General features: G+C 42.0%; 1 protein-coding gene and 1 long non-coding RNA gene across 8 annotated transcripts in view; one reads left to right on the top strand and one right to left on the bottom strand.

Annotated features, from left to right (window-relative positions):
• Positions 1-23,556, bottom strand: part of SLC14A2 (solute carrier family 14 member 2) — a 515,726-nt gene that overhangs the window by 243,327 nt on the left and 248,843 nt on the right. The window lies entirely within an intron of this gene.
• The window catches only part of SLC14A2-AS1 (SLC14A2 antisense RNA 1), a 142,177-nt gene that overhangs the window by 66,702 nt on the left and 51,919 nt on the right, over positions 1-23,556 (top strand). For 2 of the 3 annotated variants that reach the window (XR_007066350.1, XR_007066351.1), the window contains exons 9-11: positions 3,644-3,719; positions 5,037-5,163; positions 16,206-16,598. This is a non-coding gene — a long non-coding RNA (SLC14A2 antisense RNA 1). Of the gene's footprint in view, positions 1-3,643; positions 3,720-5,036; positions 5,164-16,205; positions 16,599-23,556 lie in introns of those variants that run through there. The other variant, XR_007066352.1, reaches the window with a different exon arrangement.

Below are 23,556 nucleotides of genomic sequence, written 5' to 3'. Positions count from 1 at the left end.
CAAACCTGGCTGAGGTGGGGGTAGTGGAGAATGGAGTGTTAGAGGACAGCCACATGGGGTTCTCTGTATATGTTGGAAAAAGTCACAGAGCAACACTGCTGGATTTAGTCCAGATGTCATGAAGAAAATTAAAAAAAAAAAAACTTGAAAAATGATTTCTCTGAAACAGTGTTTGCATAGCAAGGTTCTAGGGCTAAGTTGCCCAGAGGTGGCCCATATTCATACTCCTTTGGAAGAGCCAGCCATCCATTTTCATTAGATCATGATTTGATCAACCTACACAGGCCTCTTTTTAGCTTCCGGTGAACCACAATATTATGACTGGGCTTAAATAATGCCAGAGCAATTCATGCAAAAGGGAAACACTCAGTTAAACCAGTCACAGGGCACTGCAACTAGCTTTCCAATGCTGAATTACTCTCCTGTAAGGAAATGGTCTTACTTATGAGAAAAAAAGCATAGAGTCTCCAAGGATTGCTCTGTGCAGGGTAGAGCCTGAGGGAAGACTTTCCAGGTGTAAAAGGCCAACTGGTGTCAAGTCTTTCCCTGGAGTGGTCTCTTCTCTGTTGGGTTCTTGCAAACTGGGATTCCTGTGTCTCCCTCACCCCCAACACTGTGCTGATGTGGATGTGGTGCCATTCCCTTCCAAACTCTCCACCAAATGTGGGCAAAACTCTTTTTCGTGTTTTTCCTTAGTGCAGCAGAGCAGAGACCAGTGTATAATTATTTAGCTAATTATATGTAATTATTTCATTGGCATTTCTTCCTCACTAGACTGTGAGCATCATAAGAGCAAGAAACAGGTTGGTTGTGTTCCTCCATGAATCCTCAACACCTACCATGGTGCCAAACATATTGTAGATGTGCAATAAATAGCTGTTCATTGACAGTTTTTCAAAAAGAAAACAAAAAAAAAATCAGAATATATACATAGCATGAGAATCAGTAGAGTTTTTTTACTGAACACTTCTCTGAGAGCCAAATGCCTTAGCTAATCCTTTAGTAACCAGGTTAGTATCTAAGTTAACAACATGGTGAAATCTGACAAGCAAACCAGGCAACTTTGCCTGGCATTTTTTTTAAGAGATAGAGTCTTGCTCTGTTGCCCAGGCTGGAGTACAGTGGTGCCTCCATAGTTCACTGTAACCTCAAACTTCTGGGCTCAAGCAATCCTCCCTCCTCAGCCTCCCAAGTAGCTAGGTGTGCACCATGCCCAGCTAATTTTTTAATTTTTATTTTTATAGAGATGGCACCTGGCCATATTGCCTAGGCTGGTCTCCAACTCCGGCCCTCAAGTGATCCTCCCTTCTTGGAACTCCCAAAGTTCTGGGATTACAGGCATAATCTATCATGTCTAGCCTGTCTGGGTTTTAATACCAGGGCTGCCACTGTCTTCTCTTACTCTTGACAGGTTATAGGCCCTAGGTAACATTGGAGGTACAGAGAATCACTGGGAAAATTAAAGGAGATATTGTTCAGAAAGTGCCTAATGCCTGATATGGGGAATAATGAACTACATGTATGTCCCCCACAGCTCCTTGATGAATTCTTATATGGACAGGAATTCTTAAATGACAGGAAGATGGCCAGTATTCCTGTCCATTTTCCTATCATAGATATAGATAAGGCTTTAATTTCAACTTTCTTGCTAGATCATTAGGATATTTTTATTCCTGGTTTCCTTTCTGAGGGACACAATTCATTCACAGTTTGTTTGAGTAGAAATGGAATTGTTTAGCCTCTAGCGGGATAGGTTTGTTTTAAACAGTTGCTTTGGCTATTATAAATCATCTTAAACACAGTCTTAAACAAAGATCTCTCTCCTTCTCTCTCTCTTTTGCTCTCACTTTTGCTCTTTCTCTTGCACACACACATGTATGAACACCCAAACACACACTGAGCCTTTCTTTAACTTTCCCCTGAACCCTCTCGAACTAGTTTGTATGTGTAGATACAGATAACAGGAGGTAAATTCTGCTAGCTGTGGAATAAAAAATATTTCTTTGTATTTTTCAGGCCAGCTTGTGGTTGCAATAGGAATAGAAGAGACTTCCTTACTCCAATCCCACCCTACCCCCTCATCCTGCCTCAACCAGTCATGCAGAGAGATGCTGAATGGCTGCCTGCTCTCAGGGGAATGATTTGTGGAGGTTTAATTAAAATAATTTAATCAATCAAATCCAACAAATATTCGCTGAGTACCTACCATAGTTAAGAACTTACTACATTGTATACTTACTGAAAGTCTTTATTTTTGCCTCTCCATGTCGTTGAGATCACCATTCTGATGTTCCCTTCTACAGTTTCAGTCCAAGCACAGACCCTCATATATAGTAAGGGCTTAATAAATGTTTTGTTGGATGTATGACTGTAGATAGAAGGGCAATAGGAAGTCAAGGGGGTAAGTATATTTATAACCCAAGATTTCTAGGCCTTTGGAAGACAGCAGGGTATCGCATACATTAAGAGCATGTATTTTGCTCAGTATGAATATGAATCCTCATACTTGGAGTTATTATCTGCCAAGAAGTTAATTATCCTCTTCAGGTTTCAATTTTCTTATCAACAAAATGGGAAACAACAAGTGATTTTTGAGGGCCAAGACATCGAGGATGTGCTTAGCACAGCGTCCGACATAGTGAGCACTCAACACAACTGCCTGCTGAGATTGGAGCTTAGGCAGTGCATAGTAAGCACACAACACAACAACTGCTGGTGCGGCTGGAGGGCGGTGACCGAGTTCTTGCATGGCCACCACTTAACCACCTCCAGTGCAGGCTGGTGTGCATGGGGATGATAGACCGCATGACATGAGGGTGGCTAGCAGCTGGAGCGGATGGGCCACTCCCAGATGCGAGGCTTGAAGGAGGTGGGGCTCTGTGCAGTGATCTGGTGCTGGTTGGGCATGCCTGGCTCCAGGAGAGAGGCTCATCTGACTCTCCACAAGCAGAGAAAACAGCTTAACTTCCTTGTCTGGCAGTGGGGTCCTGGGTGCATGACTCTCTCTATGAGGCTGGTTTCCACCATCTGGAAACAAGGATGTGCCTGCACCTTGGCCCTGCTTTCTTTCCTGCTCCCTTGGGTGTACAGACAGGAGGAGTGCCTTAGTGAATTCCCTCTCTGGTAGCTTTTTACAGATTTGGGAGTCCAACCACAGGCTTCAAGCACTATGTTGAAAGGGCAATAAAAATCGGAGAGAAATGGAAAGATGAAAATAAAGGGCAAAGCAGAGGGATGCGCACTCATGCGTGCGTCCATTAGCGCGTACATCTATACGTGCCTGTGTGTGTGGGAAGTGGGGTGGGCCAGGCAGTGGGAAGAGCGCTTATTCAGAAGAGGGGCTCCAGTCTCTGGTCTCCTGTGTGGCCCAACCTAGAATCCTGAGCGGAGGACCAACATGCTTTGGGAGACAAAGTTCAAATGTGTCTTCCTTTGACATTTGAATCTCAGTTCAGTGGAATTCTATCCCCTTTCCCTTGCACCCACCTTTTGATGTGAATATGCATTGTTTTTTGGTTTTAACCTTTTCTACTCCCACAGCTTTGGTTTCGGCTTAAAAAAAAAGAAAGAAATCTCCAGCCATCCTTACTCAGCTTCTGCTTTAATTATCCAATTACTGAAGCTATCCAATCTATTTATTCAGGCAATCAAGGCTTTAAATGCGTGGATTTATCATCACCTCAAATCGCCTGTCACTGTGATGGAACAAAAATAGAAAGGTAACCAGGATGCTGTAAGAGGTTTGAATCAACATACTTTTCCTGGTCAGTTCACTGTTTTCAAGACTCGTTTATGAGGAGAAAAAAATTGTAGGGAGAGGAGATATGAGAGAAGAAAGAAGTGATAGAGGGAAAGGGAATGAAGACTGTTTGAAAGGGTTTGGTCTCTGTTCCTGTAAAGATTGACCTGCAGTGTTCTTGGGTTTTCTCTAAATTCCCTCCTTTCCAGCTCTTCCCTCTGTGGATAAATTACCATTACTGTTGCCCTAGTTAAGAAATACAAACTTGGGGGTCATCAAAGGACAGAGAAGGTGGTCTATAGATCCATGCTGTTACTGGAACTGCATCTGCTTTCTGGAATCACCCAGAATAAGTCCATTTGCACATTGACCTGATTGCCTCTAACCTATTTGAAAACAGACTGTTCTTTTTAACATAAACAACGTAATTTTTTTCAGTCACTGCTCATTCACCATTCTGGACATTTTACTCCAATTTATCAACTTCTTTATTAAAAGGTGGTACCCCCAAATGTAACACAAAACTCGAAGTGTGTTACGTTCAGTATCACCTCCCTCTGTCTGGTCATGGTCTTTGGGGCTCTATTAATAGTAATAGAGCTCCAAAGCTTTTAAAGCTCCTCTGGCATGTCATATGCTGCTGTTTAGTCACATCTTCCCTGTCCTGTGCTCTTTGATTGTGAGTTTTTGAGAAACCTAAATATAGGAATTTATATTTATCCATGTACATTTTAATAGGTTAAATCAGGCCCACTTTTGCTAGCCATGGAAACCAGTTTGGATTGCAACATACCTTCCTATATATTTACCACTTTACTTAAACTGTGGTTTTGTATACTCTGCTTTTTGTATCTTCACCCTAGTTATTAAGGCTCTTGACCAGAACAGGTTGATATAGAGTCCTGGGACAAGCCACTAGGCACTATCCAGTGGATTGCTCTTTCTCTATTAATCAGTATTTTTGGAGTTTATGTCCCAGCCAAAGGCAAACTCTTCAGCTGGGAGGTTAAAGGGACTCCATCAGTGCTATTATTCTTAGTGTAAAAATAAGAACAGCAGTCTTGCCAAAATTGTCTTAGTACCATGCCAATTTAAAAGAGAACTCAATCTAGTATAGAGCCATCCTGCAACTTAAAATTTTGGTGTGTGTGATATTATAATACTAGCTGATGAAATACTCATTTTTCATGCACAGATTTCTCAATAACACACTGTGTAATAATAAATGTAATTGACCTATTCTATTCCTTTTCCCCAAAGTAATTTAAGCTCCTCTCTCATTTCCTTTGCCTTTGAGTTGGGCTAATATCTTCCTGCTAGCATGTTTCCATCTGTGAGTTTGATCAAAGCAACTTTATCTGCGAAATTTTGAAGAATCAGCTTCATCTCCACTTGGCAGCATGTGGTAAATGAAGGTATTTCTGGTAAGATTTATTGTATCATCTTCTGGGAAACTAACTCCAGAGAGGACCTGATTGCAGAGAACTGTATATTAAAGTTTCTCTTCCTATCTCCAGGCCCAGGTGGAGGGGACAAATGGATTCCTACCTGACTGCAAAATATGATACATTATTATAAACAGAGTCTTGAATTATAGAAAATACTAGTTAGCATAATTACATTACCATATTTTTATATAGAGATTATTATTCAAATACCAAACAGGCAACCTTCCATTGGAAAAAACCAATAAACACTCTCAATCCAGCCTTCCATGGTTATGTATGTCAGAGAACAAAACAATTTTAAAGTTTAAAACCCATTACATTACAAGAGCTATTCACTTCAAGTAGGTGGCAATTTGCTTCATTTTTTCACCCCACGTTTTGATAGCTATTCACCTCTATCAATTCTTATCTTGCCCATTCTTTAGAAACCAATTGCAGTTTAAAAAGTGCCCATCTATTTCTGATTGAAATCTTCACGTGCTGGTTTTTTAAACTATTTTTCAATCTCTTAATAAAATAGATTGCCTTCAGGCTGCCAGTTAGTAAACCTGCTAACAATTCAGGGATTCCAAGGACTGCTGTGGCGCTTAGGTTTTCCCTGCTCTTGGTTCTGTGCAGGAAATCCACTGGTGCTATCCACATGTGCATAACAGTTTAATGGATGGAGCTTATTTAAAATCATGCAAACAACAACAACAACAACAAAGCTCTGCAAAATTTCCTGATGAAATTGAGTTAAACTGCCAGCCTTTTTAGTGCACAAAATATAAAATAGGTCTTACAGCTTTTCCCTTTACTTGTTAACAGTTTTTATTGTTGACATCTCAGAGTCATCAGACTGACAGTGTCTTATATCATTGAGGATAACCTCCATTTGTAAGTGGGACTCTCAACCCATCAGTCTTGGAACAAGTATTTCTTAAGGACCGGCTTTGTGGCTGGCCATGAATCAAGCAAAGGAAGGGAAAATATGGTGTCTGCCTCTGAGGGTTCATGCTTTAGAGAGAGAACAATATGGGACAATCTACAGTTAAGGGTAGGGGGATGTTCAGACCATAGGGTTCCCTGTGATTCAGAGATGGGAGAAATAAGGAGTCGAGGGAATGGTCTCCTAAACCCAGAAGAACCCTCAGAGATGGGGATGAAGTTATATTAGGTGTAAAGGACTATCTGCCATTGAGGGAAGACACAGGAGCCCTGAGTAAGTATTATGAGCATGGGATGAACTGAAGGCAGTGAGAAGTTGACCAGACTAACACTGGCCCTTCCTGTGTCTATGTGGCCACCATCCATCTTCCCCCTTCCAGGAGAGGAAAAGCCACACTTTCTTTTCTTTTTAAAACTATTGTCATCCTCAGTGTCCACTCAGGATCTCCATACCCATTCCCTAGCCTTGGTCTCATCAATAATGAGTGCTTAAATGCCCTGATCTTAAGCAACATTCACATCCTCTTAGTTTGAATCCAATTAACTTAAATGTCATTGTAGCCCCAAATAATCAGGAAGCTTTAAGATAATGCAGATCAAAACAAACTTATTGATGTCATATCATGGCTGGATATTGTGTCACCTGTTTCCAGTTTTCTAGATCTTTTTAACCCAGTAGCAGGTACAAGGCGGAGAAGTGTGATAGAATAAGGTAAGTGTCACAAGAATAGTGTGGAGTCCCCTGGTGTTTCAGAAATAAAGAAAGCATGTCCATCTGGAGGATTGGAGAAAGTTGAATGCCTTTGAGATACCTCTCACGTATGACTAAGGCTTTTTATATCCATCATAGAAGAAGGCCTAGGAAGATAAGGGAAGAGTGGACGTAGGCAAGCTGAGATTGCATTCAAAGAAAAGCTCCTGTTATTTGGTTAACAATGTTGGGAATACAATATTAATTATAAAATAATATTTGTTGCATTTAACCTTCACAACAGCATGTTGAGGGGGTACTATATTCTCCACTGTATGCATGGGAAAACTGAGGCTTAGTTAGGGAAAGGATCCTGCCTGCAGTCCCTTGGTAGTAAATGTTGGGGTCAGGACTCAAACCTATGTCTATCTAATCCATATTGAGAAGGTTATAGTTCAGAGGAGGTAGATAATTGTTTTGAGGAAGTGAAAGAGAAAAGTTGATGGAGTTCATCTACAGAGAGTGAGGGAAGGATGAGGAGAATTTAGAGGAGGACAGAAAGAGTAGAAAACAGTTAGCAAATCTGTGGTGGCAAAATAGGCCTTTGGGCTCTCATTTACCTATTTATTTATTGCACAAAAAATGTACAAAAGGATTTGCTAATACATGGAAATCAAAATCCCAGACAAACTCTTGCCCCTAAGGTTAGATTTAATGACTCAGGGTCAGGCAGTAAGTCCTTGGTGACTGAGGCTATGTCTATGTGGCCATCAAATCCTATCTTAGGATCACATGTCTACTAGACTATCCTGGCATCCACAAGACCCTGTACTGGGAAGACTCAAATGCTGGGTTGATGCGGTCCAGGTCTGTGCAGGAATCATGAACATATCAAAGTGTACTCACAAAGCCGAAATCAGGGTGGAAAATTAGTGGCTGGGTGTGAGGCTGCTGCAGAGAAATTGCAGTTGGTGACTTCTCTTGGGCTCTGTCTCCCCTAGATCACTCTGGGTATTTTCTAGCAATGTGGTCAGAACTCCTGGCCTCCTTTGTTAGGATGCACATCCCCAGGGGACTCCCTGGGTTTCAGCAATTTGTGTATCATGGGCAAGGAGCTTATTAGGGACTGAAGTATTCCTGCCCAATTGTTAATTAATCACCTATTATTTTTGTAGCTACGTTCTTTGGAGGATGGTTTCATAATGGCGAATTCCCAAAACCTATACCAGAAGCTTTATTCGGTCACCTGGGTCCCGCCTGCCCCTGTGGCCTTATCATTCTGCACAGGAGTGTCTGTCATTTTCATTCCTTCATTGTCATGCAGAACACTGTACGGGGAGGGTTCCGTGCTGGGAGTGTTGTTATCCTTTCCAACACTGCTATTTTTATTATAAAAGATGGAAAAATAGTAGGAGGTTAATGGCTGCTCAGAATAAAAACAAATAGTGACTAAGAACAAATATTCAAACGAGGCATTGTCTTGCTGGGGGAATGATATTCAACAGTGAAGCCCTGCGCTCAGTTTTCATCTCCCTCTTTGACTACATAAACCAGGGGTTGTGTGTACTCAGTTCTGCCATTGTACTGCCTTCCATTGTCAAATCACCTAACAAAAGAGACTGTTGGAAGCACAAGAACCCTCCAAAGGCCAAGGGTTCTAATCAGGGAAGTTTGTTTCTTCCTCTCCTCATCGTCACACTTCCCACTTCCTTCATTTTAGTGGATGGATTGTCACCTCCTATTGGCTACCATGGGCCCCTTGCAAAGCCCAGTTCTCTGCAAAGAGGAGTGAAATGGTCATATGGACCAAAGCTCTGACCGTATTCACTGACCTGTGGGCACTGCTTGTTTCCTGTGCCTGAAGCACATTGCACACACATTATTGTGCCCATGACCTCCAGTTTCTAACTGAGCTGTCCCTTCAGGCTGAGGTGGTGCCCTAACGTCCAGCTTTCTGTGTCCCCCTGCCCAGTGTCCCCTAAAGTGCTATTCTTTGCTAGGTGACTGTCAATAGAAAAGAGGAAAGAGAACTAACATTATTTGGGTGCATACCATATGCTAGGCACTGCACAAAGTAGTTTTTTAAAAAAATAATATTTACTTCTTTTGATAATCCTGCCAGGTAAGTGTCACTATCTTTATTTCATGGGAAAGAAACTGAGGCATAGAGAGGTTTAGTAAATTAACTAGGTAGTGAGGGGCCAGGATTCATTCATTAATCAGACAATGCACACACACACAGACACACAGACCACGCACAACACACTCATCCACTTGCTAGACGTGTAATATATTTTTAAAATATAACATCTTAATTCTTTCAAAACTGACTCCAGAAATCCCTTGAGAAGAGAGTCCAATGGTCACTTAGGCTGTAGCAGAAAGAATACCATATAGAGAACTATTCCCTCTACCTAATCAGCATTAAACCTTGTGTAATTACCCCTCCAAATGAGACATTCTATGATTGTTTCCAAATAAAAGGTAAATGATCTAAAGTAGATTATATAAGATCCAATACTTCTTATCTCATGCCTGGATCCTGAACTTCATCTTTGCACATTTCCTTCTCCTCTAAAAAGTCATCAGCACCCAACCAGGGGAGTCTCACTAAACTAGAACTCACATTGGGCAAAGGCTAAAAGGTCTCCCTGGGTGTCCATTCCAGTCATCAGCTCCATGGATCCACAGATCTCCTAGTCTTTATGGGAAGTGAGCAGACTCCCTTCTTCCCACCATGTGAAGGCCACCATCTCTGCAAGCTCTCTCTTTCTCTGTCTGGTTTTCCATCTCTACTAAAAATACAAAAAACAATTAGCCAGGCATGGTGGTGGGTGCCTGTAGTCCCAGCTACTCAGGAGGTTGAGGCAGGAGAATGGTGTGAACACAGGAGGTGGAGCTTGCACTGAGCTGAGATCACACCACTGCACTCCAGCCTGGGAAATAGAGCGAGACTCTATCTCAAAAAATAAAATAAAATAAAATAATAAAATAAAATAAAATAAAATAAAATAACTTCCCTTCCACAGAAAGAGCCAGTCCAATTATCCCAATCCACACAGATCTCTCCCTTTTCTGAAATCTTTAGTTAGTGCTACGTGAGTTATTACAAGATCCCTCTCATTTCCCTTGTGTATATTTTCTTTATTCAACTTGATTTATAGCCATGAGCATATGGGATATGTATTATACTTTTCTCTAACCATTCTTAGCAAATGTCCAACAAATATAACTACTAAAAGGAAGCTGTAGTAAGAAAGAACACTGGGTTAGTGATTTGGAAACTTGTTTTTTGTTCCAGCATTGCTACTAACCAACTATGTGATTTGGGGAAAGCTACCTAACTCTCAAAGATTATTTTCCCATCTGCCAAAATGACCATGCTTTAGCAATGGACTTCTAAGACCTTTCCCAAAGTTATAACTATACTCTCATGAATTGATTAAACATTTGAAGAAAAAGGAAGTTGCCAAGAAAGACCCACCCCAGACCTGAGTTGCTTAACATCTGAGTGTTCTGAGAATGGAGGCTGAGTGTGAAACCTATGAATGAGGATCAAGAGACAGCGCAGTCAGTTAGGGCATATTATTGAGTTTCCATAAAGCCTTAAACATCACTGGGCCAAGGAATGCCTCTGATTCCTTAGGGAAGGACTAAAACAACTTCAGGAGCAAAGGGAACCAGGTTCTTTCTGTTCCTCAACTACAGACCTTTACTGGATCAGACTACAACAGCAGGTCTTCCCACTGCTAAGATCTGAACTCAGCCACCCCAGGGGAGTCACAGAAGGAGACTTCCAGGTGCCCCAGGAGGTAACTTGGCTTCGAGGATCAAACTCACGCACTTCTGTCTTTCTTTCCCTCTGGACTCTTGTCAAAGACTAGACTCCATCAGTGAGGCTGAAATGTACATAAAAATATGATTTATGCTATTGTAAGACTGGTCAGGCTGGAGAGGCCTCTGACTCTAAATGGGGGTCCTAGGAGCTACTTGCTGTCCATATCACAGTTATTTGACAACAGGGAATCAAGTGATGGGCTAGATTTCTTCCTCAAGGCTTTCCCTGTGCTCACTGTAGAATCCCTAAAGAGTGAGTGGCATAGATGGTCCACCCTGTGCCCTGCCAATTTGCTTCTGCTCAGAGAGGTCCATGCCTCTCAAATCATTTTGCATGAAGACCAACTTCCTCTGCTTAGCCATCGCCAATTTCAGTCATAGGCAAGTCTTCCACAGACTCTCCACAGTTTCCTGGCTTGATGGATTTAGACTTAAAAAACATAACAGTATTTATTCATGTAATAAGTAGACTTTTATTTCTGCAAAGAATGAAAACATATAGTATATACTGTTTTATAAGGTAATTTAAAATTTAATAATATATTGTAATCATTTCTTTATGCCAATAAATATGGAACTCTGGCGTCAATGTCTTCTCTTCCATCCTCCACTATAACTTCATTCTTGTTCAGGGAGTATGGTCCTCCAAATATTTGAAAAAGTAAATTCTGCCGTTGGCCCCTTTACTCTCTTCCTGTCTTTGTTCAGTAATGAACCATCTAGTACTCCATCTTCTCAACCAAGCACTGGTGATGAGGTTTCATGCATTTAGGAAAAGTGCATGGATTCTTCTGATGAGAACAACAGATGCCCATCTCTTCCCAGAAATCTAGAACCAATAGTGGGGACTTATCAAAAACAATCAGAGAAGCTGAATTTGTATGTTCTCTGTACTTATTAAACAGAACTCAAATGAAAGTTTTCTTTAATGTTTCTTCTTTTGTCTTGGGTAGTAAGTGGGACAGGCTGTTTTGTAATGCAGTCTCAAGGGTTGGTCCATTCTGTCATTAAACTTGCTATTTCCTTCTGCTCACCTCTCTACCCAGATGACATGTCACTTTGACATAGTTCCCTCCTTTCTACTTTTCCAAGTACAGCCTGTGTTTTAGGACCAACTAGTGGGGTATGTGCCCTGGGGGTGCCCATGACCTCCAGCCTATAGGGGTGGCTCCTCTTCAGTCCTCAAGGATTTCCCTTCCTGAGCTTCTGTGGTGCCTGCTGTCTGCTTTATGTTCATGTTAGCACCCTCTCTCCTCCACACTTCCAATATTGTGCACAGTGTTTTTTTGTTACAATCCTGCAAAACAGGTTTTTAAAGTTATGGTCTGTAGTTGCCATTTTACAGCTTCTTAAACATGGATCATTTCTATCCAACAATTTGAAGAAGTGACACCATGCCCTTGAAAGGTATTGTTTTATTTGAGTCAGATATAATATTGCTAAAATATATGCTATCCCTAGAGACTGGCTATATTGTGAATTTTCCCTGTAAATGTCTAGCTTCCATCCTTAATTCCCAGGCTAGGGCTCCTTGGGTTCAATGACATAACTTCCAGAAGAAATGCTGGTGCAGTAGCTAGGTGATTTACATATAATCTCTCCCTCTGGGACTCTCTTTTAGGAGGGTGAGTTTGTGAGTTTCTTACATGTAATGAGTGGCCTTCAGTCCAAGCAGACTTGCTATAAACAGTGAACTCTTTCTTACTTGGATGGTGTTGTGTATTTGTCAATGCTCTTTCATGCCTATTGTTTCAGATCTTCACGACACCTTTGTGGGAAAGGCAGGGCAGTTATTTTAATCCCCATCTGACAGATGAGGAGAGCGAAGCCCTGAGAGATCTTATGGCTTTCCTAAGATCACATCATTGGCAGCCAAAGCTAGAACCTGATGCCAGGATCTCCTGCTTGCCCTGTCCTCTTGGTAACACACACAAGGATGCTCTGATAGCCACCACTGTTTCCTCACATCCGTTTCTTCCCAAATATAGTCACATTTCTGATCCCATTTAATTCTCACAAGAGCCCTGGGAGAAACTCCTGGGTTGGGGTTATCTGAGTCATTATTTCCAACCTATAGAAACAAACACTGGGACTTAAGGGACTTTCCTGGTCACACATTGATCAGTGAATGGGGTGGGACAGAACTCAGTTCCCAGACCCTCCAGCTGGAACTTTGACACCTCTGTGCACACACACACCATGTACCTCAGATGTTGGTCTGCCTGCACCCAATAATTTGAAGTAGAAAGCATGACTGTCAGGAGGAACTTCAGGGTGGTCTTCAAGGGAAACACTGGCATCCAAATGAACCCATTGCTTGGTACTTAGTGACAGGCAGGTGTGCAAATGTGTAAGTGTGTGGTCCCATGGAAAGAACCAGGTGGGGAGGCCTTGGGCACAGAGCCAGGGTGAGAGCCAGGCCTCCTGATTTCCAGGAGAGTCCTTTTTTTTTTCCCTTTCTTTTCTAACCCTACTAATAGAAGAATTCAACAGCTTTCTCCATGAAGAAAAATTAAGTGAATATCAGATCAGGGGTTTCATTTCCCTCATGACAAACACAAAGAATTATTCCACATTCTTCCAGTGAAAGGGGGTGAGGTGTCCATTTTCCTGCTACTTATGTTCCTCAGCAGGTATGTCGGAATGACTGGGTCACTGTTAACTGGGTCAAATAAGCCAGTCTCAACTCAGCCAATACAAATATTTCCCCAACTCTATGTTGAGAAAAGATGAAAAAAATTGGCATCTGAAGAGGTGAAAGGAGGTGGTGGCAATGCAATCATTCCCTGAGGGAAAAGAGCAGATGGATGTATTTCCTGCTGCAATAGGTGGTCCAGAATTGGCCGAGAAGGGGCTTCCTAACACACACTCACATGACCAATGCAGGTTCCCAGAGGCAGAACCAGGAACCTGGGACAATACTCTGCTTCTCTTACAAAATGCCCAATTTTGTTCAAGGGCTGGTTTTCCATTAAGCGTGTATGTATGTGTGTGTGTGTGTGTGTGTGTGTGTGTGTGTGTATGTATGTATATATGTATATGTGTGTATATATATGTATATGTATGTATATATGTATATAGATATATAGTATATATATGTGTATATATATAGTACATATATGTGTGTATATATATACTATATATATGTGTGTATACACACACACACACACACACATGCTGATCTCATTCGGCTCTGCTTGTGTTATCAGGGATAAAACATACAAGGGTGTGCTCTGCTTGGACATCACTTTTTAAATAAACAAACAAACAGGTACCATATGACTAGTTAATGTAAAGCACAGAGAGGACCACCGCTGAAGGAGGCATGTCTTCTGCCTTCAGGAAAACCACAATCCAGTTGAAAAATCACGATTACGCACTCGATAAGTTAGATGATTACACGCTTTGTAACTTAGCTCCAAATTCAAGGCTAACAATGACAATAAGTGGCACTCAGCAAGGAACAGAAAGTTTGACTCGGGTAGTCCAGAACAGGGAGAAGCTAAACAGAGGCGGGATAGTTCAGGAAGAATCAGAGGCAGAGGTGGAACTCAAGTTGGGTCTTGACTGCTAGATAAGAGGGGTGGCCATCGATGCCGTGCCAGGGAGATGTGGAGGAGTGAGCAGGAGAGTTGGGTTGGCTCACTTTTCAGAACATAGACTTCCCCTTTGCTCCCAGGGACTTGCTCTCTTTTAATGACAAAAAGGATGTAAGAGAGTTGTGAGTAGTTCAAACATGCCTCACTTCCAGAGAGTATCCCAGGTAATAATGGAGGAGAAGCACCTTTTCTGAAGTCGGGGACAGCACACAGCTTTTCACTCAAATGAAATCCACCCCCTCCCTTTAAAAAAAAATACCCTAGGACTGTTTACCTATCCATGGGAAAGTCATAAAGGAAAATGTAGAAATGGGAATTGCTTTGAGAATCTGTAGAAGGTTGACAGAATATGTGTAAACTAGAAAGTGCTGGACAGCTTACTATTATACCTAGGGGCCTGACTGACACTGAATTCCAGGAGAGACCACGTTACTAGAAGATATTTAAAATACTTTCAGTGAGTCTATTTCATGTGTCCTTAGCAGCAGAGTGAATCTCAGCACAAGCTAGTTCAAATCCTCTCCCAGAGCAGACATGTCTTCCACAGCCATCTCTAGGGCTTGCCATCCCATCTCTGTTTTTGTGACAGCCTGTGCCACTGATGTACTGGCAATTCATCAGGGGGACTAACAGGGACAGAACCAAGGATACAGTTCTCAGGTGGAGGAGCATGCAGAATCATGGTGCTGAGAAGATGGAGAGGAGACAGCACTGGTAGGGTGGATGGCATTCATACATGCTTTGCCTATTTCAAATCAAAACCAAAGCCTGGGACTGGTGCCCTCATCAAATGTTGTTATAGCCATGCCATGTAGAATTAACAATCTTAGAATTGTTACATATCTCTTACATTAATTCTAGGGTTGGAAGGCCATCTTAAAATAAGAGTGGGCTATGGAGGGTCAGCATTTGGATGGAATATTTATTACCATTGCCAGGACCATTTGTCCATGGCATATTTAGAAGCTTCTTATGAAAACTTTTATTCGTGCCTTGAAAATCTCAACTCCTAAAGGGAACTGGATGTGCAGTCAAGACACATTGAGATAAAAGTTAGCTTTGCCATTAGGCAGCCATGTCTGGGATGTGCTTGGTGAAACATGGGTGCTCTAAGAGGGTTTGCTGAATGATTAGGAAACTCAGGGAAAATCTCTTCAGTTTCACCATCTCTAAACCAAGAGAAATAGCCCCCAGCACTCCCAACTGACAGGCCTTCAGCAGGATAAAAATGAGGTAATGGTTTTTAAATATACTTTACAAGTAAAAATTTCTATAGAAATATAAGTGGTTGCTATAGCAAACTTGGAAGTTGGAGTTGGAAAAGGCCTGTGACTAGGAACTAGGAAATTTTGGGTCTTGTCCAGCTCAGCCCATAAACGATAAATCTTGAAAAGTCTCTTACCTTCTTGGAGCTTCAGTGACCTCATTTGTAAACACGTTATAATAGAGTCTGTTTACTTCACAGCATGTTTGAAAGTCAATGGAGATGATTATAAATGGCTCTCCTTTGATGAGCAATGAAAAAGCAAGTGTGGGTGTCCACCTACTCATGCCTGTGCACAGTTGTGATTTTAGAAACAGTTTGCTCCTGGAGAAGTGAAGCCTTGATGGGAAGCCCCTGGGCCTGCTGACCCTACCCCCTTTCTTCCTGCCTTCAGGCATCCACACCATGTGTTTCCCATTAGCTTTGCCTTAGCATCCCCCCTTCCATGTTCTTTGCAATCATTGCTCACCATCTCCCACAGGCACAGTCTCCATAGAACCCCAGAATATGAGCACTGGATGGAGTCTCACTCTACAGAACCAACCCCTTTATACATGAGGATATGGAGGCTCCGAAAAGTCATGTAGCTATTTGATGGCAAAGTTAGAACTGGATCCCAGGTCCAAGTTCATAGTTCTTTTTAGTGTCTGTGATCCCAGGCCTTTTAAACAGTGTACTTCCCAACCCCATTTTATTACAGGAAATCCCATCTTCCCAGAATTCAGCTAGGATCCAGAAGTGATGCTGTTACGTGACGTCTTCAACCTCCCTCCCTCTGCCCATCTCAGGGACCTCTCCAGAAGCCAGTCCCAAGAGTGGCATTGGTTAGCATATCTCAAATACAGTGGGAGAAGCCTCTTAGCTCAGCTCCAGTTATTTCTCTATTGTAGAAAACCAAGAGAGAGATGAATAAGGAATGAAAACATACTCCACATGGACTCAATAAATCTTGGGTGAAATGATGCTGTCTGACAAGGTAAATAAAAAATGCAGCACTCAAGCACCAGCACTGGGGATGAGATGAGGACACACCAATTACCAGCACTTCTGCCTGCTTTGCTTTGTTGACAATAAATATCAAGTTATGTCATCATCTGTGGGTTTTTGTTCCTATTAGTATAGTTGACTAGATATGCTGGATGTCATATTTATGATGTATTTAACAAAATTATTTTTTTAAAAAGATTTTTTTTTATTTGTGACTGTCAAAAAGCTTGATTTCCAGCTCAGAGGTCATCTTTGTCTATGTCCCTTGTCAGTCACATTTTTTACCCAAGCTTCATTGTCTTCACCCATAAAATAGGTGGGATAGGCCAGATGCTCACTAAGGAACCCTCTGGTTAGAATGTTCTGTTGCACCTCCTCTGTTTGTGCATGTTGTCATTAAATAGGACAGCATTTTACAACATTACTGGCCACTCTGAGCCCCTGCAGAAGCTCCTCCACACAGGGGGTCCTGAGCAAAGGGCTCTCCCCAGGACAGGACTATGAACTCGCTGTCAAACTGTCGCAGAGATTTCTCTGTACTTCAGCTACTGCTTCCTGACTATTCATATAACCACCTTTCAGAAGGATATGATAATATAGCATCTTGATTGTAAAACTGCTCATAAAACATTATGGGATTGTGGGAAGTTCGGGTCCCTGTAAGGACGGTGCTGGAATACAACTTGAGCCTGAGCGGAAAATAAATAATGAGCTATTTGAAACCGTCTTCATTCCCCAAATGGAGCAGAGAGAGTGAAAATAAATGGAAATACCATCAATTACTGTTTTTCCCAATGGCAAAGTGATAAGATATTTAAACGATGTGTGACACAATGGAGTGTGAGTTCTAATGGAGGGGCTCCTGTCCTTAACGAGGTAGAAAAGTAAGATAGTGGAAGAAGTGGAAAAGTTAGGAGGGGACAGCAAAAAGAAGCAGAAATTAGCACTGAGGGAGCCGGGCTAAGCCTACATGTGACAGCAGTGTACAAATCGCACTGATGAGGTGTAATTGCCTGTCCTCTAAATGGAGACTCAGAAAGGGAAGACAGAGGACAAGAAGGAGATGAGGAAATGAAAAGCAGAGAGGTGGCCTATAAAAGCTTAGACAGCAACAGCTCTAACTGCCTTTTCTGGGCCATGAAAAGTTCTGGCTCCATTGATGGAGCAGGGGTTCTGGCCGTGGCTCAGTCTTGACATTGGCCTTCTGTCTCTCTGTAGGATCCTCCCCAGAGGCCTCACCTGTCCATGTTTGGGGCCTCTCACAGGCTGCTCTGTGGGTGATTCCTGAATCTGCCCCTCTCCCTGGCTCAGCCGTCTTCTGTCCCTAACCTTCCACTAGTCCTCTCCACGCCTCCCCTTCCACCTCACGCTTAGCCTAAATCTGTGTTCCTCACTTCCTCATGCACCCTGGTTCCCTTTTCCATGTTTTCATACTATATGAGTGGCACCAACTATTTCTTCTAACTCCCTAGACTCAAATTTGCCTCTCTTCTTCTTACCTTCCCTGTCTTACAGCTCCCAAATCCAGTTATTTTTTGCTAGTGAAATCTCTATATTCACAGACCACACCTTTATTGGGACCTTCTCATACCTCATTTTCAAACCACTGTAATAGCTGCTGCAAACAGGCCTTGGATCCAGCTTCTTCCTGCTTGAGAGTACCCAGTGTCCTCTTGCCAGATTGACAGTCTTCCAACACCTCATTAGTCATGCTACTCCCCTGCTCAGAAACCTGCTATAGCTCCCTATTTCTAACAGACAAGACCCTCGGGCCTCTTTGGCCCTACCTTCTCTGAGAGATCACATTTTCAGCTTCTCTTCTCCATGTTGTACTTGCTATTCAACAAATACTCCTATCTTTCCCACTCATTCTCATTTCTGTGGTATAACCTCCTGTCCCATTGGATGTGTCATATTCTATTCAAGTCCAAAGTCAAGACCTCCTCCTCCAGGAAGCCTACCTTGTCTGCTGAAAATAGTGCTGATGCACTTTTGTCCAGGCATGATCATTCAGCGTTGGATTAGTGGCTGATTCACATTGACATTTTAAGGTTTGGGACCAAACATAATTAACTCTTAGGCATTCATCTCTCCATTCTTTGAGGCCTTCAGAGGTCGTGTAGGTCATCCTACATGCTTGGTGAGGAGAGCATTGTGGGTTCACTGGTAGTCTGTGATTGGTCAGCTGCATGGCCAGTGCATTCATTTGCACAGATTTGACTTTTGAGAAAAGGATACAAAGATCAGCCATTACAATGTAAATTTTTGAGGAAATTTAAATTAAGTAAAAATACGGACCAAAAACATCGCCTTAACACATGGCCACATAGCTGATGCTGCTCGTTCTATCTTCAAGATGTTCTGATGAACCCTTAGGTCTAGCACACTCCTCTCTGCTGGTACATGCCACTCATACCTGTTGAAATGCGTGCTTCCCAAGAATCAATTGTGTTTGTTCCCAAACCTTTTTATGCTGGTTGTAGTTATAATTTATTTAAATATTATGCAAAACTGTGAACTATGAATGCAAAGAGGGTTGTTGATTTGACAAAAAAACAAGTTGATTGCTTTGGAAAGAGCCAGTAAATGGGAAATTGATTAAAAAAAAAAAAAGGATCGATGTTAAATAGAATGTGGGTGGGACAACTCTAAGAGATTAGTTAAAAATAATAAAATTCTGCACGTAGATAGCTCATAAAATACATTTTAGGTTCTTGATTCACTTTAAAGAACCCAAAGCTAGATAATGTAAATAATGTATTCTTGGAATGATTTGTGGAGGGAAAGGATGCAGAACTTTAATGAGAAGAAGTTTATTTAAGAAAAAATCAGGCCGGGTGCGGTGGCTCATGTCTGTAATCCCAGCACTTTGGGAGGCTGAGGTGGGCAGATCACGAGGTCAAGAGATTGAGATCATTCTGGCCAACATGGTGAAACCCCATCTCTATTAAAAATACAAAAGTTAGCTAGGCGTGGTGGTGCATGCCTGTAGTCCCACCTACTCGGGAGGTTGAGGCGGGAGAATTTCTTGAACCCGGGAGGCGGAGGTTGCCGTGAGCCAAGATCACACAACTGCACTCCAGCCTGGCAACAGAGTGAGACTCCGTCTCAAAAAAAAAAATAATAATAATAATAAAAATAATTCCACCTGTACCAAACGATTGGCAAATAAGTGCATATTTATAAGTTTAAAATCATGTTTAAAAGAATTTGACCATCCTTTCCTATTATCAACCATTATTCCAGATTATATCAGATTAAAGGAATTCTTTACCACTCAACCTCAGCATGGGTAGAACATTTTCCAGTTTGGGGGCAGAAACAGGGTAGTATCATCTTCTGAATACCAGAACCTGACACATCCACATGTGAGCTGCAAAGATACACCTCTGTGATACTTAACCTCCAAGACATGCCCCCTTCCCACACCATCCTCGTGTGGATCTGTGGATCTTTATTTCCTGGAGTTCACACCTTGTATAATTCTCACTCTCATTGAATCAGGCTGTCCTATGTGATCAATAGAATACACTAGAAGTTATGGTATATGACTTCCAAGGCTGGTTCATAAAGACGTCTTGCTTAGTATCTTGAATAACTCACTCTGAGAGAAGCCAGCCACCATGTTTTGAGGCCACTCAAGCAACCCTGTGGAGAGATTCGGGTGGGGAACTGAGGACTCTTGCCAACAGCCAGCACTAACTTTCCAGCCATGTGAGTGAGCTGCCTTGGAAGTGCATCCTCTAGTCCTGGTCAAGTCCTCAGATGACAGCCATAGCTGACATCTCATGAGAGATCCCAAGCCAGAACTACCTGGCCAAGCTGTTCCCAGATTTGTGACCCATGGAAACTGTGAGAAATATTAAATGACTATTGTTGTTTTAAGCCATTATATTTTGGAACAATCTGTTATGCAGCTTTAGGTAACATGGAATTTCCCAAACAGAGCAGCTATTTCTAAGCAGGGAGAACCGGAGGTGAATCATATTGAGTACTATTAGCAAGAATGCCCACTCTACTGAAAGTGCAAAGGACACACTGATTTTTGTCCTCATTAATTACATAAAATAAAACTGGAGATTTTTTTTTTTTTTTTGAGTTGGAGTCTTCCTCTGTCGCCCAGGCTGGAGTGCAGTGGTGTGATCTCAGCCCACTGCAACCTCTGCCTCCTGGGATCAAGTAATTCTCCTGTCTCAGCCTCCAGAGTCACTGGGATTACAGGCGTGCGCCACCACACCTGACTAATTTTTGTATTTTTAGTACAGGTGGGGTTTCACCACATTGGCCAGGCTGGTCTCGATCTCCTGACCTCAGGTGATCCGCCTGCCTCAGCCTCCCAAAGTGCTGGGATTATAGGCATGAGCCACCACGCCCGACCTGATAAAATGTTTTAAAAGTTCATTTTGAACTGCTTCTGGGACAGAATGACAACACAAAACAAGTTTTCTCAATAGTTTGATATTCAAGAGTAAGGAAGAGTGAAGGGGCATCAGAGAGAGAATCATTTTCCTCCTGTTCATACTTTAAGCCTCACCTACACACATCATACCCCTTAGCAGAATAAAAGGGGCCTGTGAGAAACTTTGGGGATCATCCCAGTCAGGGTGTGCTTTAGGAACCCTGGGTTCCCGGCACAATTCCATGAAGATTCTCCACCACATAGAGTGAATATGTTTCTCTTGTTAGTTTCAAAGGATAGCACTCTTATAATAATAGCAGGCCTAATAGCAGCAATGCTTACTGGCAGGTTGGTCATAGCTTAGTGAGCACTGGTCAGAAACATTTATCACTTTTTTCCTCTTCACAAAACACACATTAAATCTTGAGAAATCAAATGAAGAGACTCTAGCAGTATCTTTGGTGCTTCAGCCTGAACAGCCCAAATATAACCAATTGCATTTTCCTAACCGTCCTCCCCTCTGATTGCTAAGCCATGGATCTGATGCTTGCACCAGGAGTGGACCCTCTCCCCTCCTCTGACACTGCACTTCAAAATCACTACCAAAATGGAGATGCCTTTTTTTTCCTCAGAAGGAAAATAAGAGAAAGCTAGTTGAACAGGGATTAGAGGTAAATCCACCTCCTCAGATGATGAAACAACTTCTAAAATGTCTTCGTTCGTCCTTCTCACCCCAGTCTCATTTAAATTTTCTATCACTTTGATCACATCAATATTTTGCTTAAGAACCTGAAATGACTTTCTGATGCCATCCAAATAAATGCCCAGGCATATTAGGAAGATATTCAAGACCCCTGGTAACCAAGCTTCAAATCTGACCTGAAGGTACCGTTCCAGTTTTATCTCTACTGACGACTCATGGATGTGAACCTGGGTCCTTGACAAATGCTGGCTTTTCTCAGACTCTACCAAACACTCATATGTCTCCTACTTCACTCCTGCTATCCTCTTTCCCTGGAATGCTCTCCTTCCAATCACCAGCCTTCTACACTTTCTTGTAGCTTAGTTGTTTCAACACCACATGCAACAGACGCCCTCTTATGACAATGCCAGAGATGGCTGCCACCTCTAGTGGCACTTCTGTGCCACTCACAAGACATTTGTTTCTTATTAAGAGTGCAGTAACTATCCAGGTTCTTTATGTCTCGTCTCCCTCCAAGCTTGTGAGTACCCAGAGGATAAGAATCAGATTTCTTTTATTGCTGTTCCCCCCACACACCTAGCAGTGTCCTTGGCATTTACAACTACCATAATATGATGAATAAATGAATATTGTTGCTTTTCTAAAACTTATTTTACTGACTCATATATACATTTATTTCAAAGGAAAAGCAACAAAAAGACAAGAGCAGGGATGTGACATGAGATGGATGGTGCTATTTCCCTGAATAGCTGCACCCAAGTCTTCCCACTTAGCTGTTTTTCATCTTCACATCCAATCATTTAGCTTCATTTGATTGGAATGACTACAGGTTCCTCTTATAAAAGAGTGTTAGAAGTTGGCAATATTGGTGGCTTCCTAGAAGGTATGACTAGGTGGGAACTTAAAAAAGTCCTTTCCTCCTTGAATGCATTCTTTAAAAAATATTATTTACTGATTTCTGAAATTCCTCCATTTGAGATTTTTTTTTAAGTAATTATCTTCAGGAGAGGTCACACTTAAGGCAATGACAATTATTATCAACAATAACGATGATAAAAGGTGATATGGTTTGGCTGTGTCCCCACCCAAATCTGCTCTTGAATTTTAGTCCCCATAATCTTCACATGTCATGCAAGGGACCTGGTGGGAGGTAATTGAATTGGGGGCGGTTCCCCCCATGCTGCTATTCTCCTGATAGTGAGTGAGTTCTCAGAAGATCTGATGGCTTTATAAGGAGCTTTTCCCTCTTTGCTTGGCAGTTCTCCTTCCTGCCATCATGTGAAGAAGAATGTGTTTGCTTCCTCTTCTGCCACGATTGTAAGTTTCCTGAGGCTTCCTAAGCCATGCAGAACTGTGAGTCAATTAAATCTCCTTCTTTTATAAATTACCCAGTCTTGGGCAGTTCTTTATAGCAGCGTGAGAATGGACAAATACAAATGGCCTGTAAGAAATAAGGTCTAGGGACCAAGGAAGTTGAAAAAGAAAAGGTAAAAGAAAGGATCACCAAAAAGGGGAAGTGTTAAGATGCTTAAAAAAAACCCCATAATTTGTTGAATTTGCTGAAGCCTGGCTTTATCCCTAGTAGAATTTTGTAAGGTGACTTTTCACAGATCAGAAAACCTCTCTGCTGATAAATAACCAAAATCCTGATATTTTTTAAACCCACCAACCCCTAGCTCTAACATAATTGCCTATGATAGAGAGCCAGCTGTATCCTTGTGATGTAATTATTTTCTTTCTAGGGTCCATCTTGCGGATTTGTGTGGATGTGCACAAGTACCACATGTGTGTACACACACGTGCTCCATAGGCACTGGGACCTCGCTGATCCTTTACACCCCACTCATTTTCCCTCCTCAGATGATACATCAGAAGCACATTGTGATTTCTGGGTGTGTATTAAAACATGATCTATGGAAAATAAATTAACCTAATAAAATATATTCAAATGATCAAATGTCC

This window comes from Homo sapiens, chromosome 18 (genome assembly GCF_000001405.40).
Source record: "Homo sapiens chromosome 18, GRCh38.p14 Primary Assembly".
In the NCBI taxonomy this organism is placed as follows: Eukaryota; Metazoa; Chordata; class Mammalia; order Primates; family Hominidae; genus Homo; species Homo sapiens.
This window is presented reverse-complemented; position numbering and strand designations above follow the sequence as displayed.